This window comes from Homo sapiens, chromosome 9, assembly GCF_000001405.40.
Source record: "Homo sapiens chromosome 9, GRCh38.p14 Primary Assembly".
In the NCBI taxonomy this organism is placed as follows: domain Eukaryota; kingdom Metazoa; phylum Chordata; class Mammalia; order Primates; family Hominidae; genus Homo; species Homo sapiens.
The window spans coordinates 15,516,659-15,536,267 of record NC_000009.12 but is presented as its reverse complement, the minus strand read 5'-3'; the positions used below and the strand labels follow the sequence as shown (position 1 = coordinate 15,536,267).

Here is a 19,609-nt window from a genome sequence, read left to right as displayed (position 1 = left end):
AAATTAACCTGGTGTGGTGGCGTGCGCCTGTGGTCCCAGCTACTCCAGAAGCTGATGTGGGAGGATCACTTGAGTAGGGGAGGCGGAGGTTGCAGTGAGCCGAGACTGCGCCACTGCGCCACTGCGCTCCAGCCTGGGTGACAGAGGGAGACCCCTCTCAAAAAATTAAATAAATAAATAATCTTACACCTTATTTTAATGTATGGACTGGCTATAGATTAGCAAGATGTGCAAATCTTTTTTAACGATTACATATATGTATATATATATGTGTCTTTATTTATGCATATATATTATTCAGCCACCTTAAAATGTATTAAAGTAATATATATTTGTTCAAAGGAAAAAACATTACCAATATAGTTCTGGGTATTCTACCTTTTAATTTATCTTGTGTCTGAAAAATCCAAAATAGATTACTTTGGTTGCAGTTTGTAATAATGAGAACCGTTAAACAGAAATAGGAGTATGCATTCAAAACAATAAATAAGGTATGCCTAACTGTTTTTTAAGGGTATCTTTGCAGTGTATAAAGATGTTTATTTAATAACATAATATATACTTTGTTTTATTTAATATGCTGATAAAGTTAAATTTTTTTAAGTTAAATTTTTTTGTAAGTTAAATATGTTTTAAAGCTACAATTTAAAGCCTTAGTTTAATCACTTGCTGGCATATTTACATATTTGTGTACGTCTCAATGCATATCTATAGAGTTATATAAAAATAAATTCAAAAGAATTATTTAAAATTTTAGCTGGGCACGGTGGCTCACGCCTGTAATCCCAGCACTTTGGGAGGCCAAAGCAGGCGGATCACCAGGTCAGGAGATCGAGACCATCCTGGCTAACACGGTGAAACCCCGTCTCTACTAAAAATACAAAAAATTAGCCAGGCATGGTGGCAGGCGCCTGTAGTCCCAGCTACTCGGGAGGCTGAGGCAGGAGAATGGTGTGAACCTGGGAGGCGGAGCTTGCAGTGAGCCGAGATTGCATCACTGCACTCCAGCCTGGGCGACAGAGCGAGACTCCGTCTCAAAAAAATAAAAACATAATAAATAAATAAATAAATAAATAAAATAAATAAAAATTTAAAAGACAAAAGACAAATTTGAAGGCTTACATATCTTTTACTGTAAATTTTAATATGGATTGAAAACAAAAAGTAAAATTAAGATCTGCATTTTCTTCCCGTAACATCCTAGTTATTCATGCTCAGATAAACAGAAATTCTTTTTTATTCCCAAAATATTCTGTTAACTCTCTAGACTTCTTACATATGATGGAATCATTTTGGCAAGAAATTTTTTAAAGTTAAATTACTAGTAATCAAGGGCCGGGAGCGGTGGCTTATGCCTGTAACCCCAGCACTTTGGGAGGCCGAGGTGGGCAGATCACGAAGTCAGGGGTTCGAGACTAGCCTGACCAACGTGGTGAAACCCCGTCTCTACTAAAAAAATACAAAAATTAGCTGGGCATGGTGCCATGCGCCTGTAATCCCAGCTATTCAGGAGGCTGAGGCAGGAGAATCACTTGAACCCAGTTGGTGGAGGTTTCAGTGAGCCGAGATCATGCCACTGCACTCCAGCCTGGGTGACAGAGTGAGACTCTGTCTCAAAAAAAAAAAAAATAAAATAAAATAAAAATAAAAATTACTAGTAATAGCTATTATTTATCGTTGTGTTTCCTATTTGTTACAACCATGTATAGCCTTTGAATAAAATGGCTTATGCGTATGTCTTATGTCCCCTGACAACTCTTCTTGATTATGTGTGTTCCAAATTCAGTTCTCTAATTCAGAATAATCAGACTGTAAAATTTTCTTTTCTTTTTTTTTTATTTAAGATTTTATTGTTTTCTTTTCTTTTGAAACAGGGTCTTGCTCTGTCACCCAGGCTGGAGTGCAGTGGTGTGATCTCAGCTCACTGCAACCTCTGCCTCCTGGGCTCAAGCAATCATCCTGCCTCAGCCTCCCGAGTAGCTGGGACCACAGGCGTGCACCACCATGTCTGCTAATTTTTGTATTTTTTAGGAGACATGGGGTTTCACTATGTTGCCAAGGCTGGTTTCGAACTCCTGAGCTCAAGCGATCCACCCTCCTCGGCCTCCCAAAGTGCTGGGACTACAGATGTAGTTAGCCACCATGCCTGGCCTGTAAAGTTCTCTTATAAATCAAAACTTTCTTTGAATTTACTGGAATAGCCACCAGTTCGGCCAAAAAGTCAGTTTCTCAATTTATAAAAGAAAAATAGTAGAAATAATTAGGCATGTGTGACATTCTCTAAATTTTAATTATGTGTGGCCAGGCCCGGTGGCTCACGCCTGAAATCCCAACATTTTGGGAGGTTGAGGCGAGAGGATCACCTATGGTCAGGAGTTTGACACCAACCTGGCCAACATGGTGAAACCCTGTCTCTACTAAAAATACAAAAATTAGTTGGGCATGGTGGGGCGAGCCTGTAGTCCCAGCTACTCAGGAGGCTGAGGCAGAGGAGAATCGCGTGAACTCGGGAGGCGGAGGTTGCAGTGAGCCGAGATCACGCCATTGCACTCCAGCCTGGGTGACAGAGCAAGAGTCCGTCTAAAAAAAAAAAAAAAATTGGAATCAATTTGGAAACAAAATTTGGAATAAAATAAAATTTGGAATAAAAAAATTATTAATATTGTTTCATGATTGTGAATGCTTATGTGCTAGTTACCAATTTAATATCATCGCTCCATTGCAAATCTACACTATTTTGCCCTGATTCATGATCAGTCCTGAACCCTACAATCGTTTTTTTGCCAACAGATAAAATGTTATGGTTCATCGACAGAGGGCGCTAGAGTGACACTGCATGGCCACAGCTACGGAAAGACACTTTTCGGTTGGACTCCAGCCCTCTTATAATCTTCAATACACGAGCCTAACAAAGTAGCTCTAGCTGTGCCCTCAGTCTGTATAGTCCCTCTTCTTAAGGCGACCTTAGACCAGGTCCAGCTACCTATATCCTCTGGCAACAGCTGACCCTTCCTGCAGACTGGCCCAGCCTGCCTATCCCCACCAGCAGTGGTGAATCACTTTTATAGGCCCCTCTAGCAAGTATCTTCACCATTGCCAGGCTGTGTGGCTGTGTTTGTAGTAAACACGTCTTTCTGGCCGGGGCGCGGTGGCTCACGCCTGTAATCCCAGCACTCTGGGAGGCCGAAGCGGGCGGATCATCTGAGGTCACGAGTTCGAGACAAGCCTAGCCAACATTGTGAAACCCCGTCTCTACTAAAAATACAAAAATGAGCCGGGCGTGGTGGCGCAATCCCAGCTACTCAGGAGGCTGGGGCAGGAGAATCGCTTGAATCTGGGAGGCGGAGGCGGTAGTGAGCCGAGATCGCGCCACCGCCCTCCAGCCTGGGCAACAAGAGCGAGACTCAGTCTGAAAAAATAAATAAATAAATAAACATGTCTTCTTTGAAGAGGTCTGAATCTCAGCCCTGGGGTGGTGGTTGCTGAGAGGAGCCCTTTCTCCTCTTTATCGTTCATTCTTCCTCAGCCTAGAGGGATGCGCTGTTTTTCCGCACTTGCTGCTTCTGGATTCTTTAGAGTCCTTGTTTACTCCTTTTTGAATTCACTCACCTCCTGCTAGTTAATAATTCTTTATATTAAACTTTCCCTGTTCAAAAAACTGATGTGGTTTCTGTTTCCTGTCTGGTCCCTGATTGACATATCTTAGAAATATAGTTTTTTCATGTACAAAGATTGGTACAATAATTGTCTCCAAAAAGATTTTGTATCAGGTTATTAAGTTCCAATGTCTTTGTCGATCAGGGACCACTGTAATATACCTTGTGGCACAAATTAAAAAGCCCTGGAGTCTCCTTCTGTCATTTCCATTTGGTTCTTTCTAAATACCCACTATTTCTTTGCTGAGAATTTCTATATTTTTATTTGTTTCAAGAGAATTTGTAATTGCTTGTTGAATTTTTTATTTTATGTGTTTTTTTTATGGTTGCTCTCAAAAAAAAATAATAATAAAAATAAAAGTCATAAACTTGCTATGGAAAAAAGAGAAGGAGATTTAGCCAAACAATGTGTAATAGACATTTGTTGGTTGATGCTGTAGCTTCTGTTATTTTCTTCCTAGCAGCCCTCATTGGAGTTTGGGAATCCATTTGGCTCTATGGAACTAATATCAATCAATAAACTAAATTATTTACTTATTCAGCTGTACAGGTGTATTTTCAAATAAATATGATTTTAAAAGAATGATGGCTGTGGTCATGATAAGAAATATGGCCTTTCATATTTATAATGTGTCCTCCATTCATCTTGGTTATAACAGGAAATGGTAATGTAATTTCTTTATGCTCCTATTCCCAGGATCATCATTGACTATATGCTTATATATTAATTTTCTGTTACCCCTCAAGAAATCATTCAACTGTCTTCTATTTTGATGATGTTCTGATATTTTTCATCTTGTGGAAGAGACCTCAGAGAAAAATAGCCCTTGAGCCTTGATGAAAAGAACCTATATAAGTTGCTATAAACATCTAACACTACAACAAAACTCTAGGGTGTTGATGCTTACAACCATTTCTCTCAAGTAAAGAAATTTACTCATCCTTAAGTTACAAGAAAGCCCAATGGGCCAGAAACCACAAGATCATGAGGAGACAGTTTCCACCCAAGACTTTCAGATCAAGATGACTGCATGAAGTAGACAGCTTCCATCAGAGACTCATGAAATAAGACCTAGATGACTGGAGTCAGATCGTCAGGCTTGCATCAGCAGGCTTTTGTTTGTTATTGTTCAAGCTATTTTCTTTCTTTCTAGTTTCCTTGAAGTTTTGGATTATTAACTTTGATACCTATAAGGTCCTTATCCTTAATAATGTGTTTTGTCTCCTTAATCACTCCTTGGTAAAAGTCTAATGCTTGGCTATAATTTTTCATAATTTGGCTAAAACACAAAATCAAACTAACTATTGGGTTTATATTCTCTTTACAGGTAGGTGCCTTCATTTTCCTTTTATGTTAGTTCTGTGTAATAAATCAGTAGTCAAGTTCTTCCGCTCTGACAAAAAAAAAAAAGGAAAGAAAGAAAAATAAATAAATACTTTCCTGGTAATTGGAGTCAACCACGAAGTGACTTTTTTTTAGAGTAACACAACAGGTCAGACATCCAGAAATACAAAATCCCCCATCATGTTCCCCTCTATGGAAACAATATTCAGGGACTATGTAATAAAAAATTTGGCAATTTGGCAGGTCTTTGTCCCCAGCTCCTGGGAAATAATTTCCTTTTTTTTTTTTTTTTTTTGAGACAGAGTCTCACTCTGTCGCCCAGGCTGGAGTGCAGTGGCATGATCTCGGCTCATGGCAGCCTTCACCTCCTGGGTTCAAGTGATTCTCCTGCCTCAGCCTCCTGAGTAGCTGGGATTACAGGCGCACATCACCACGCCCGGCTAATTTTTGTATTTTTAGTAGAGATGGGGTTTCACCATATTGGCCAGGCTGGTCTCGAACTCCTGACCTCAAGTGATCTGCCTGCCTTGGCCTCCCAAAGTGCTGGGGCTGGGATTACAGGCATGAGCTACTGCACCTGGCCCTCCTTGTTTTTTGTTGTTGTTGTTGTTGTTGTTTTGTTTTGTTTTGTTTTTGAGACAGGGTCTCACTTTTTTGAGGCAGGGCCCAGGCTAGAGTGCAATGGTGCTATCTCAGCTCACTACAACCTTTGCCTCCTGGGCTCAAGTGATCCTCCTACCTCAGCCTCCCAAGTAGCTGGGACTACTGGCACACACCACCACACCCAGCTAATTTTTGTATTTTTTGTAGAGATGAGGTTTTGCCATGTTGCTTGAGCTGGTCTCAAACACCTGGACTCAAGCAATCCGCCCACCTCAGCCTCCCACAGTGATGGGATTATGGACGTGAGCCACTGTTCCTGGCCCTGGGAGATTAATTGCTAAAACCTTAGAGTTGTCCAAGTGATCTGAGTATCTTTGTCATTCATTGTGGGCCCCTCAAATCACACCTGATAATTTCTGTTAGTGAAGTGCTTCAGATGTGGGCTAGCCCTGCCAGAAAGACCAACCATGTGATTAGAGGGTTGGAGCTTTGAGCCATGTGGTATCAGCTTGACCTTTGAGAAAGAGGGGCTGGAGATTCAGTTCAACCACATACACAATGATTCAATCGATCATGCCTGCGTAATGAAACCTCAATAAAAACTCTGGGAACTGAAACTTGGGTGAGTTTCCCCGGCTGGCAGCATGCCTTATTTTCACACTTTGATGCTGGGCAGATAACACATCCTTGAGGACGATGGAAGCTCTGCATTTGGATCCCTCCCAGATGTCACCTGATACATCTCTTCTTTTGGATGATTCTAATTTGTATCTTTTTGCTGTAATAAAATTATAATACACACACAACTTCAGTGAGTTCAGTGAACCTTTTTAGTGAATTATCAAACCTGAGAGTGGTTGTGGGAACCCATGAATTTATAGCCAGCTGGTCAGAAGTGAGAGTTGCCCTGGGAACCCCCAAACTTGTGGCTGTTAACTGAAGTAAAGGCAGTCTTGTGGAGAATTGTGCCTACAGACTTTGCAGTTTGACAAACTCATTGTAGAAAACTCTTGCAGGAGCCAGCTTTTGCAACCAAAAGAAATCAGTCCTGGAAAGGATTTTTAAACAGATGAGGTGTATTCAAAGATAATTTCACTTTTACTGATCTTACAAGAAAAGCACATTAGTGGGCTTAAGCACAAGCCTTATTTTTATTTATTTATTTATTTATTTTTGAGACAGAGTCTCACTCTGTCGCCCAGGCTGGAGTGCAGTGGCACGATCTCAGCTCACTGAAAGCTCTGCCTCCTGGGTTCATGCCATACTCCTGCCTCAGCCTTCCGAGTAACTGGGACTACAGGCACCCACCACCACGCCCTGCTAATTTTTTGTATTTTTTTTAGTAGAGTCGGGGTTTCACCCTATTAGCCAGGATGGTCTTGATCTCCTGACCTCGTGATCTGCCCGCCTCGGCCTCCCGAAGTGCTGGGATTACAGGCATGAGCCACTGCACCCGGCCTCCCCTAGCCTTTTTGTGTTTGCTTTTTTTTTGTTTTTGTTTTTGTTTTTGAGACAAGGTCTCACTTTGTCACCCAGGCTGGAGTGCAGTGGCATGCAAGTCCTCCTGCCTTGGCCTCCCAAAGTGCTGGGATTACAGGCACGAGCCACTGCACCCAGCCGTTTTTTGCTTTAGACCTACCTGGTGATTTCTTTATCACAAATATCATTTCTTGACACCAAACGACACTTATGAAACATTGCAAAATATTACCTCACCATCTGACAACATAGGGGTAACTCCATAGGGGTATTATCACCAAAAACAAGGTTGCTCCCTTGTACCTAGTGTTAAATTGATGGGGCAAAAACTAACTGCTACTAGCATATTGGACACAGATATGTTATCTTGACCAACTGATGCCTGCTCTCAGGATAGGCCCTGATATCACCTAAGGTTCATTTTCATCAACAAATTTCCATTCCCCAGCCCCTAAACATCTTTAAATAATTTAATTCAATAAGGAGGAAATCTGGGCCTTGATTTGAGTTCAAAACCTAAAAACTGAAGGGGAATTTTTGACTGCTTTCTTCTACACAAAGGCTCTTCATGTTATGCTTTCTAAGAGGCCTGAAAAGTTAAGACTAATCCTACATCCTATGGTTCAGAAGATAGTAAAGGAGTTCCCTGTCTAAGGCCAGGGCCTTACCTAGGAATTTTATAAAATGGGACAGACAATGTTTCCAAATAGACAGGAATTAGACATAATATGGGTTTCTTAAAGGAGAACATGTGCTGCCCTGTCCCAAAGACCAAGAAGATTTCAGAGTGGAGTTCAAGAAGACAGAGTATATAGATCTCAGACAAGTTGCTCTATGCCTTCAACAAAAATGCTTCCTTTTTCTTTTCACTTTTTTTTTGGTTTTACCTTTCCGACCCTCTTCTCAACGCTAGAGGAAAGCTTTTATTGCCCTTAGGAATGACCAAGCATAGCCTATTTGTAGTGTAGGTTTGGGGCTACAGGGATTTTTTTTTTTTTTTTTTTTGAGACAGAGTCTTGCTCTGTCGCCCAGGCTGGAGTGCAATGGCACTTTCTCGGCTCACTGCAACCTCCACCTCCTGGGTTCAAGCGATTCTCCTGCCTCAGCCTCCTGAGTAGCTGGGATTAATACAAAAAATTAGCCAGGCGTGGTGGCACACACTTGTAGTCCCAACTACTTAGGAGGCTGAGGCAGGAGAATCGCTTGAACCTGGGAGGCAGAGGTTGCAGTAAGCCAAGATCTGTGCCGACTGCCCTCCAGCCTGGGTGACAGAGTGAGACTCCATCTCAAAAAAAAAGAGACGTTCTTCGCCGAGAGTCGTTGGGGTTTCCTGCTTCAACAGTGCTTGGATGGAACCCAGCCCTCGTCCCCTACCCCGGCCAGCCGCCCATAGCCAGCCCTCCGTCACCTCTTCACCGCGCCCTGGGACTGCCCCAAGGCCCCCGCCGCAGCTCCAGCGCCGCGCAGCAGCCGCCGCCGCCGCCTCTCCTTAGTCACTGCCATGACGACCGCGTCCACCTCGCAGGTGCGCCAGAACTACCACCAGGACTCAGAGGCCGCCATCAACCGCCAGATCAACCTGGAGCTCTACACCTCCTACCTTTACCTGTCCACGTCTTACTACTTTGACCTCGATGATGTGGCTTTGAAGAACTTTGCCAAATACTTTCTTCACCAATCTCATGAGGAGAGGGAACATGCTGAGAAACTGTTGAAGCTGCAGAACCAACGAGGTGGCCGAATCCTTCTTCAGGATATCAAGAAACCAGACTGTGATGACTGGGAGAGTGGGCTGAATGCGATGGAGTGTGCACTACATTTGGAAAAAAATGTGTATCAGTCACCACTGGAACTGCACAAACCGGCCACTGACAAAAATGACCCCCATTGGTGTGACTTCATTGAGACACATTGCCTGAATGAGCAGGTGAAGCCATCAAAGAATGGGGTGACCACGTGACCAACTTGTGCAAGATGGGAGCACCCGAATCTGGCTTGGCAGAATATCTCTTTGACAAGCACTCCCTGGGAGACAGTGATAATGAAAGCTAAGCCTCAGGCTAATTTCCCCATAGCCGTGGGGTGACTTCCCTGGTCACCAAGGCAGTGCATGCATGTTGGGTTTTCCTTTACCTTTTCTATAAGTTGTATCAAAACATCCACTTAAGTTCTTTGATTTGTACCATTCCTTCAAATAAAGAAATTTGGTACCCCCCCCCCCCCCCCCCGCCCAAAAAAAAGAATTCTGGCCAGGTGCAGTGGCTCGTGCTTGTAATCCCAGCACTTTGGGAGGCCGAGGTGGGAGGATCACTTGAGCTCAGGAGTTTGAGACCAGCCTGGTCAATATAGTGAGACCCTATCTTTATACAAAAAGAAAAAAAAAGAACTCAACAACACCATCACCTAGAAGGATCTAATTGACATTTATCAAATATTCCATCCAACAAAAAGCAGAACATACAATCTTTTAAAGCACCCAAGTAACATCTACAAGATAGACCATATCCTGGGCCAGAAAAGCCCTCAGAAAACTGAAAAATATTGAAATCACACAGAGTGTATTTGTTGTCCCTATTTACAGATAATATGACTGTTTATGTAGAAGATCCCAACAGATCTACAAAAAATAGAGAAAGGAAAAGAAAAAGAAAAAAAGCCTTCTAAATTTAATTGGTCAGTTCAACAAGGTCTCAGACACAAGCTAAACTGTAAGAAATCAACCGTATTTCTATATCTAGCAATGAACACTGAAATTAAAACAATCACTCCAAAAAATAAAATACTTAGTTGTAAATCTAACAAAACATGTGTGGGACTTGTAGGCTGAACACCACAAAATGCCAATCAAAGAAATGAAAGAACTAAATTAACAGATACACTGTGTTCAAGGGTTAGAAAACTCAACCGAGTAAAGACCTAAATTTTCCTCAAATTTATATATAAATATATGATATGTTTTTCTATATCATATATAATTATATATAATTAAATATATAATATATTTCTATGTTTATATATTCTATATAATATGTAATATAGAAATGTATATATAATTAAATTTATAATATATTTATAAATTAAATACCTATCAAAATTCCAGCAGGCTAGGTGCGGTGTATACTTGTAGTTCCAGCTATTCAGGAGGCTGAGGCAAGAGGACTGCTTGAGCCCAGGACTTCCAGGCTATAGTGCACTATGCTGAGTGATCAGGTGTCCACATTGAGTCCAAGGTCAATATGGTGACTTCCCAGGAGTGGGGGACCACCAGGTTGCCAAAAGAGTGGTGAATTGAACAAAGTTGGAAATGGAGCAGGTCAAAACTCCCATGCTAATCAGTAGTGGGCCCTTGCTTGTGAGTACCCAAAGCACTCCAGCCTGGGCAACATAGTGAGACCTCCTCTCTTAAAAAAGAAAAAAATCCCAGCAAAACTTTTACAGATACAAACAAGCTTATTCTAAAGTTTTTGACAAAGGTGAAAAAGCAATTCAAGAAAACAAGAGTAGTCTTTTCAACAAAGGTGCTAGAGCATTCAGATATCCATAGACAAAAAAATGAACCTCCACTTAAACCTTACAAAAATTAACTCAAAGTAGATCACAGGGTTAAATATTAGACATAGAACGCTAAAGTTTTAAAGAGAAAACAGAAGAAAAATCTTTGGGATCTAGGGCTTAATGAAGAGTTCTCAGACATGAAAACAAAAGGATAATCCATCAAAGAAAAAAACCTGATAAGTTGGACTTCATCAAAATGTAAAACTTTTAGTCTGTGAAAGACCTATAGGGAAGACAAAAAGACAAGTTACACATATGGAGAAAATACTTGCAAATCACGTGTGTGACAAAGAACTCTTATCTAGAATATATAAGGAATGCTTGAAACTGGGTCGCCTGCCACAGCAACATGAGTGGGAGCACCAGGAACCCAGGGTTGGAACAGGATGCCATGGATTGCTTTAGCCCTTTTCCTGTTTAGAACAAAAAAGGGCAGCTCACTGCCAGTGCTCATTTAATTTTACAGAAACAGGCTCTTTGAGGCTGAAGCAAATCTGACTGACTTTTGATGTGAAAATAAAATATAAAAACCGTTCCTGAAGTTATTTCTAAACAGAACTAACATAAAAATAGGCTGAATCATCAGAATCATCTATTTCGGAAAAACCGGATTTGTCAAATCAATCTTCGGGCAACAACTGTTTGAGAACGATGTTCACATCCCATGTAGGAATGCTATGTTTTCTAGGATCTGGCATTTTCAGTGATTGAGAATCGCTATATTTTGCAAATGGAAATAGCACTACTAAAAACAAAATGCTATGAACAGAGTGATGTCTTTTGTTTCCAAAGTCAATATTCTAGAACCACGTGAAAATAGTAATAAAAGTGAGATATTTTGTGGCAAAGTTGTGGGTAAACGCTGCAGCCACAAGCCCCGCTGGAGAGTATTCTCAGGGCAAATGGGAAAGTGGGTAAGAAAATGGCACACAAACTAGACCTGGAAGAAATTGCCAGCTTGGATAAGGCCAAGCTGAAGGCCACAGAGATGCAGAAGAACACTCTGATGACCAAAGAGACCACAGAGCAGGAGAAGTGGAGTGAAATTTCCTGAGAGCCTCGAGGATTCTCTATGACTGTCATCTGTGAGCCCCGACTTGAGATGTGGAGGAACAGCCACCTGCAAGGTGGACATGCCCCACAAGCTGCGCTGTGAACCTGGGCTCTCCGAACCATGCCACCGACCTGTGAGTCTCCGAGGGGACCCGCAATGGGACTGCCAAATTCTCTGGCTTGCCCCAGGATATTATAGAAAATTATTTGTGGCCGGGCGCTGTGGCTCACGCCTATAGTCCCAGCACTTTGGGAAGCTAAGGCAGGTGAATCACCTGAGATCAGGAGTTTGAGACCAACCTATCATGGTGAAACCCCGTCTCTACTGAAAATACCAAAATTAGCCAGCTGTAATCCCAGCTACTCAGGAGGCTGAGGCAGGAGAATGGCTTGAACCCAGGAGGCAGAGGTTGCAGTGAGCCGAGATGGCGCCACTGAACTCTAGCCTGGGTGACAGAGGGAGACTCTGTCTAAATAAATAAATAAATAAATGTATGAAAATTATTTGTATGAATAATGAAAATAAAACACAACTTGTGGCAAAAACAAAAAAGAATGCTTGAAACTCAACAGTAAAAAAACACTCCAGTTAGGAAACTAACAAAGGACATGAAGAGACATTTCATCAGAAGATGTACAGTTCACAAATAAGCACATGAAAAGATATTTAATATCACTAACCATTTGGGTAATGCAAATTAAGACCACGCTGTTAGAATAGTGTAAAGAAAAAATAATGACGATACCGAATTCTGGTGAAGATGAGGAAAAACTACATTTCTCATACATCGTTGGAGAGAATGTAAAATGGCTTAGCCACTCTAGAAAATAGTTTGGCAGTTTAAAAAACTAAGTGTGCAACTACCATACACCCCAGTAATGATACTTCTGGCCATTTAACCCAGAGAAATAAAAACTTACATCTACACAAAAACTATACATAAATGTTCATCGAAGCTTTGTTTGTAATAGGGGAAATCTGGAAACAACCACGATGTCCTTCAATAGGTGGATGGTTCCACAAATTGTATACATTCATGCCATGGAATCCTACTCAGAAATAAAAAACAATGAACTATTGATACACAGAAAAACTTGGATAGGTTTTAAGAGCTTTAAGATGAGTGATGAGAGCCAATCTCAAAAGGCCACATACTGTATGATTTAATATATATAATATTCTCAAAATGATGAAATTATAGGGATGGAGAAATGATTAGTGATTGCCAAGGGTTAGGAATTGGGAGGAGGAGAAAATGACTCTAAAGTGATAGCACTAGGGGTCTTCATGGTGGTGGAATAGTTCTGTATCTTGATTGTGGTGGCAGGAATCTACAACGTGTCATAAGTGACAGATAATTATACATACACATCGTCCAAGATCAATTTCCTGATTTTGTCATTATACTATAATTCAGATATAACCATTGGAGGATATGAGTGAAGGGTTCAAAGGACCTTTCTGATTATTTTTGCATCTTTCTGTGAATCTATAATTATTTCAAAATAAAAAGTGAAAAAACACAGATCTATTCACCGTACGTTCAAGAGAAAGTTTTTGTTTAAGGCAAGGAAAATCTGCTTTGTTTATAGATATTATGAAGGTATCGAGAAAAGGACCAGCAGTGAGAGAAATACAATATTTGCAGTGTTTACTCGGCCTTTTTTCTAACACATGGCCCCTACAACGCTTCATTTTCTTCTCTTCATACACCCACAGTGAAGTTTTTTTTCAGAATTCTATTTCCTTGAGTTTGTATTGTGAAAACGAAGGTATAGTAAATACACGATCCTCCGCAATACAGGGCATTGCCTTTCCCCCACTCCCCAAAATAGAAAGAATTAACTTTGGATGGTATGAGGGAAATTCTTTACTTTTCCGTCAAGGTAGCAGGGACAAAGAAAGACAGGTACTACTTTGAGAAGAGCTTGATGGCAGATCTTCTCTGTGGGGAAAAGGTTATCTGCTAAGACTGAGGATGATTCAAGGTTAAGTGTGAACTTGAGTAGTATTGACATGACTTGAAAGAGTCATAATGGGTTATACAATGGAGAGGAAACAAAATTTAATGAAGGACCAGTTGAGTGATCTTACGAGTTCAGTGGAAAAGTGGTAAGATACTTTATTGAGCCATATTAATCTTTCTGATTCTCTACATTTTTTTTTGCTATCTGTAGGGCTACCAAGACATGCAAGGGATCATCCAATCAGGATGGTCTGAAGATGAGGAAGCTTTCATATGTACCCAGCGCAGCACATCAGCCTACTTCTTGTGAACTTCTAGGAGGAGGAAGGAAACCCTATAGTGAGACTGAATTTCCTGCTAGTCAATAGTGTTAAAGTCAGAGTTATTTGTCATAATAGATAAAATGTTTCTTATATAGCTGCTTTTGTGAAATATGATTCAAACTTGCCACATTAATATGAATTTTAACTTAAGGGACCTACATGATTTTGCTGCATTCTTTAGCAACACTTGTGGCCTAGGAAAGAGAAAGCAGAAATGGCCCAGTTCTGCCTCTTCTATCTTTTGAATTGTATAAAAAGAGCGAGAAAGACTCCCACAGGAGCAAAACAAACGTAGCATTGATAAGAAATATAGAACATTAAAGTGTTTCTCAGTCTCCCTTCAAACAAACAATTTTGTTTGTTTTGAAACAGGGTCTTGCTCAGTCACCCAGGCTGCGGTACAGTGGTGATCATAGCTCACTGTAACCTCGAATTCAAGTGATGGTGGGCTCAAGTGATTTTCCCACTTCAGGCTCCTGAGTTGCTGAGACTACCGCACGTGCCACCGTGCCCTGCCAATTCTTTTTAGATATTCTCACTACTCATCTCTAAGATTTGTCATTAGAGCTGGTAAATAAATCATCTTTGCACAGATGAAGTGGTATAAACTGGTTAAACTTGATTCTTAAAATGTAACTGTAAAGTTTCCCATGAATACTAAATATTTCCAGATACACTGATTAAAATCCAGGGTAAAAATTTAAGTGATTCTCTTAAATTGAACGTGTTATTCAATAACACACAGTTGGCCCTCCTTATCTGTGGGGGATTGTTCCAGAACCCCCGTGGATACCATAATCCATGGATACTCAAGTTCCTTAGTTAGCACTCACAGGGGGAGGTGGGATGGAGGGGGTGCGGTGAGGAGGTGCCAGATTCTGCATCCGCGGATTCTACCAATGCAGAATGCAGGTACTGTTTTCTCCATCAGGGTTGGGATTGGTCGAATCCACGAATGTAGAAACTGCTGATAGAGAGCCAACTGTATTTCAAGAACCTATCATCACGTAATTTTTTTTCTAGTTTTCTTTATCTTATAAAATGTTTAAGCTAGGCAGTGGTGCGTGCCTGTAATCCTGGCTGACACGAGAGGATAATTTCAGCCCAGGAGTTTGAATCCAGCCTGGGAAACATAACAAGACCTTATCTCTAAAAAAAAAAAAATGTTAAAAAATTTTACCTCCTAGTAAGAAAAAATTAAAATATCTAGCAACTGCCAGACTGAGTAGTATTTACTATCTATGCCTTTCACTTTCATTAAATATTATACTTAGAAAAAATTTGATCATGACTCATCTGCTTAAGAGAAACATTTCCAATATAATTTTCATAATGAATAATGTATTAAAATGTGTAATATATGTTGATTTGGTCAACTATATATGACTAATTTTAATGAAAAACAATCTGAGGAAAAAATCTATGTCTTATAATCACAAGAAAAAAGTGCACTTGATAATTTCAATTTATATACATATTACTGTTATAGAGAAGTATGATGGGTTCAATAAAGTACTTTCTTTTTTTTTTGACACAGACTTTTGCTCTGTCACCCAGGCTGGAGTGCAATGGCGTGATCTTGGCTCTCTGCAACCTCTGCCCCCCAGGTTCAAGTGATTTTCTTGCCTCAGCCTCCCGAGTAGCTGGGATTACAGACACGCGCCACCACGCCCGGCTAATTTTTGTATTTTTAGTAGAGACGGGGTTTCATCATGTTGGCTAGGCTAGTCTCAAACTCCTGACCTCAGGTGATCTGCCCATCTTGGCCTCCCAAAGTGCTGGGATTATAGGTATGAGCCACCACACCTGGCCCTAAAGTACTTTCAAATATAAAATGTATTGGATTACAACAAAATTCTACAGGACAAGTAGAATGGAAATTAGAGTTCAAGGAGAATAAGCAAATATGGAAAAATTTAAATGCTAATAAATTTTTATTAAAGAACAAGAATTCTTTATTCCTTAGAATAAAGATGTATTTATTCACGTTTTTCTGAAAATGAATAATAGTGGCTATGAAATCACTGTGGGTATTTATACTACACTTCATGTAACATTTTTATTTTAAAGTATCTCTAATGTGCTAGAAACCGCATCTTTTGGAATGATTAAAATGTTGAAAAAATGTTATATTTCAACTTAAAATGTTTGGCAGGGGGAACTATAGCAGCAAAAAAAATGTGAAGACTGTTGTCATAGGCATCATGTGAGGCTGGAAAGTGGGATATGCTGAGTGAAGTGGGATGCAAAAATGACTAAAGTCAAGTTAACTGAGAAAAAGAGGTTCAATGGATAGAACAGTGCTGGAGAGTTGCCTGGATTACGATCACAGCAGAAAGCTCCAAGTTTAAAATCTTGGAGATAAAAGAGTTCTCAGTCAAATAAAATATGCAGGCCTATGCTCAAGAGGTACTGATTTTTTGAAATTATAAATATATGTTCCTTGGAGCAAGGAATGTGTTTAAAACACTACAGATAAAAAATGGAAATTTAAAAAACCCATCATATGATTATAAATTATTAATACAAAACTCTCTAAGTAAAAAATTGTATACCACATAAATGTGCAACATTTGAAGACTATTTAGCTAAACTATAGTATAGCCAGTAATTCAGTCACTAAAAACAATATTTATAAATAAGGGGGAAGAAACAAATCTTTTATATAGAAGAATTCCAAAGTATATATATAGAGAGATATTCCCCTCTCTAGGAGGTGAAGCTTCATTTCTGGGTGCCCCTGACCCCCCCGGGAGTAGGCTAGACTTAGCGACTGTTTCCAAAGACTAAGTAGGGAAAGAGAAAAATAGTAACTTTATAGTGGAGAAACCTAACAGACATCACCAAAATCGTGATGAAGGTTCACATTACGCGTGGTGTCATGTTCATATCATATAGCTGATACGACGTGACCAGAAAGACACTTTACTTTTGGGGTATTCTTTCCGAAATCCCACATCACCAGTGTAACCATGAGGAAAACATCAGACCAATTCAGATTAGGGGACATTCTACAGTGTATCTGGCCAGAACTCCTCAAGACTGTCACGGTCAGGAGAATCGCTTGAATCTGGGAGGTGGAGGTTACAGTGAGCCAAGATTGCGCCACTGCACTCCAGCCTGGGTGACAGAATGAGACTGTCTCAAGAAAACAAAAACAAAAACAAAAACAAGAACAAACAAACAAAAAAAGACTGCCAAGATCATGAAAAGCAATGGAAGACTTAGAAACTGCCATAGACCGGAAAAGACCGGGAGGACATGACAACTCAGAATAATACGGTATCCTGGACAGGATACTATAACAGAAGGAGGACACTAATGGGAAAGTTGGTGAAATACAAATACACTCAGTAGTTTAGGTAACAGTGTTGTAGATATGTTAATTTCTTAATTTTGACACCCTTGCAATGCTAATATAGGATATTAACAAGAGTGAAAACTTAGCAAAAGGTATAAAATAACCCTCTGTACTATCTTGGTAACTTGTCTATAAAATAAAATTATTCAAAAAGGAAAAGTTTATTTCAAAACAATATTTACAAACTATGTTTAAAAATCTATACAAAAATCCAGGTGTGGTGGCTTATGCCTGTAATCCCAACACTTTGGGAGGTTAAGAGAGGAGGATTGCCTGAGCCCAGCTTTCAAAACCAGCCTGTGCAACACAGAGACCTCCTCTCTACAAAAAATAAAAAATTAGCCAGGCATGGTGGTGTACACATGTAGTCCCAGCTACTCCGGCTGGGAGGATCGCTTGAGCCCAGGAGGGTGAGGCTTCAGTGAGGTGTGATTGTGCCACTGCACTGCAACCTGGGCGACAGAGCGAGACCCTGCCTGAAAAAAAAAAATCTATACAAATGAAGACTGGAAGATAATTCACAAACATTTTAACAGGGTAATTTGTGGGTATGGAAATTTAAAAAATTCATTGCTACTACTTTGTATTTTCGAAATATTTTGTAATCTGTACATAAACACTGTTTTCTCCAAGCCACCTTAGGTTTCCATATTATTCTAGGTTGATATCTTAACAAATATTTTCTTCACTAAAGGACACATATAAAACATACTTAAGCAGAAATCTTCTACCAACCACTGTGGAGGAGCTAATAAGTTATGAGCTATAATATAAAAAATAAAATAACAATGAGATACCTAATACACATCTAATAGAATGGCCAAGATCCAAAACACAACACCAAATGCTGATGAGGATGTGGAGCAACAGGAACTCTCATTCATTGCTGGTGGGAATATAAAATGGTACAACCACTTTGGGAAACAGTTTGGCAATTTCTTAAAGTGAAACATATTCTTACCATATGAATCAGCAATTACAGAACTTGGTATTTACACAAATAAGTTGAAAACTTATGTTCACACAAAACATGCACATAGTCGTTTATAGCAGTTTTATTCATAATTGCCAAAACTTGGAAGCAACCAAGTTTCCTTCAGTAGGTGAATATTCGAACCAACAAAATATGTCCAGACAATGGAATATGTTTCAGAACTAAAAAGAAATTACCTATCAAGCCATGGAGGAAACTTAAATGCAGATTACGAAGTGAAAGAAGCCTCTGAAAAGGTTACATATTGTATGATTTGGAAAAGGGGAAAGTATGAAGACAGTAAAAAGATAAGTGGTTGCCATGACTTGGGGAATGGACGGATGAATACGCAGGGCAGAAAGGATTTTGAGGGCAGTGAAACTACTCTGTATGATGTTACAGTGGCGGATACATGTCATTATAAATTTGTCCAAACCCATAGAATGCACGAAGCAATAGTGAACCCTAATGTAAACTATGGACATTGGGTAATATGTTAATGTAGTTTCATCAATCGTAAAAAATGTAACACTTTAGTGGGGGATGTTGATAATGATATACGCTATGCATGTGTGGGGGTAGAGGGCATATGGGATACATCTGTATCTTCTCAATTTTGCTGTGAATCTAAAACTGCTCTCAAAAAATAAAATCTTAAAAAAAAACAACAACAAAAAAACCCAAACCAGGCCAGGCACTGTGGCTCGTGCCCATAATCCTACAGTTTTGGGAGGCCGAGGCAGGAGGATTGCTTGAGACCAGGAGTTTGAGATCAGCCTGGGCAACATAGGGAGACCTTGTCTCTACAAAAAATTAAAAAAAAAAAAATAGCTGGGGATAGTGGTATGCGACTGTAGTCCCATCTACTCCACAGGTTGAGAGGGAAGGATCACTTGAGCCTAGGAGTTTGAGGATGCAGTGAGCCGAGATCAGGCCGTTGCACTGCGGCCTGGGCAACAGAGCAAGACCCTGTCTCAAATAATAATAATAATAATAATAATAATAATAATAATAATAATTATAAAAGACCAATCCAAGAAGAAGAAAAAAATCCCCAAACAGCAAAGTCAAACCAGTAATTTGTCATCCAGCAGTCCTTAGAAGTGAAGTTTTCATACAGAACTTTTCCCTCTACATCTAGTTGGATTTTAGACCCAGTCATAGCATAATCCTATACATACATGGAAGACAATTACTTATTTCTCCCCCTAGGTTGTAAACATGGCTAAGATACTAATATCATGCACATTATATATTTATGATCTAATTTAATCCTCACAATAGCCCTCCAAGG

At 40.0% G+C, this 19,609-nt stretch overlaps 3 pseudogenes, besides 2 other annotated features; all 3 read left to right on the top strand.

The window, feature by feature from the left end:
- Positions 2,610-3,149: an enhancer, noted in NCBI's record as "H3K27ac-H3K4me1 hESC enhancer chr9:15533117-15533656 (GRCh37/hg19 assembly coordinates)". NCBI's record gives its function as "activates a minimal SCP1, AML or CMV promoter by ChIP-STARR-seq in naive H9 embryonic stem cells {active_cell/tissue: H9 hESC(naive)}" and the evidence as "EXISTENCE:reporter gene assay evidence [ECO:0000049][PMID:30033119]".
- Positions 3,150-3,690: an enhancer, noted in NCBI's record as "H3K27ac-H3K4me1 hESC enhancer chr9:15532576-15533116 (GRCh37/hg19 assembly coordinates)". NCBI's record gives its function as "activates a minimal SCP1, AML or CMV promoter by ChIP-STARR-seq in naive H9 embryonic stem cells {active_cell/tissue: H9 hESC(naive)}" and the evidence as "EXISTENCE:reporter gene assay evidence [ECO:0000049][PMID:30033119]".
- On the top strand, positions 8,382-9,296 carry FTH1P12 (ferritin heavy chain 1 pseudogene 12; annotated as a pseudogene).
- On the top strand, positions 10,187-10,486 carry RN7SL98P (RNA, 7SL, cytoplasmic 98, pseudogene; annotated as a pseudogene).
- On the top strand, positions 11,550-11,893 carry LOC107987048 (thymosin beta-11-like; annotated as a pseudogene).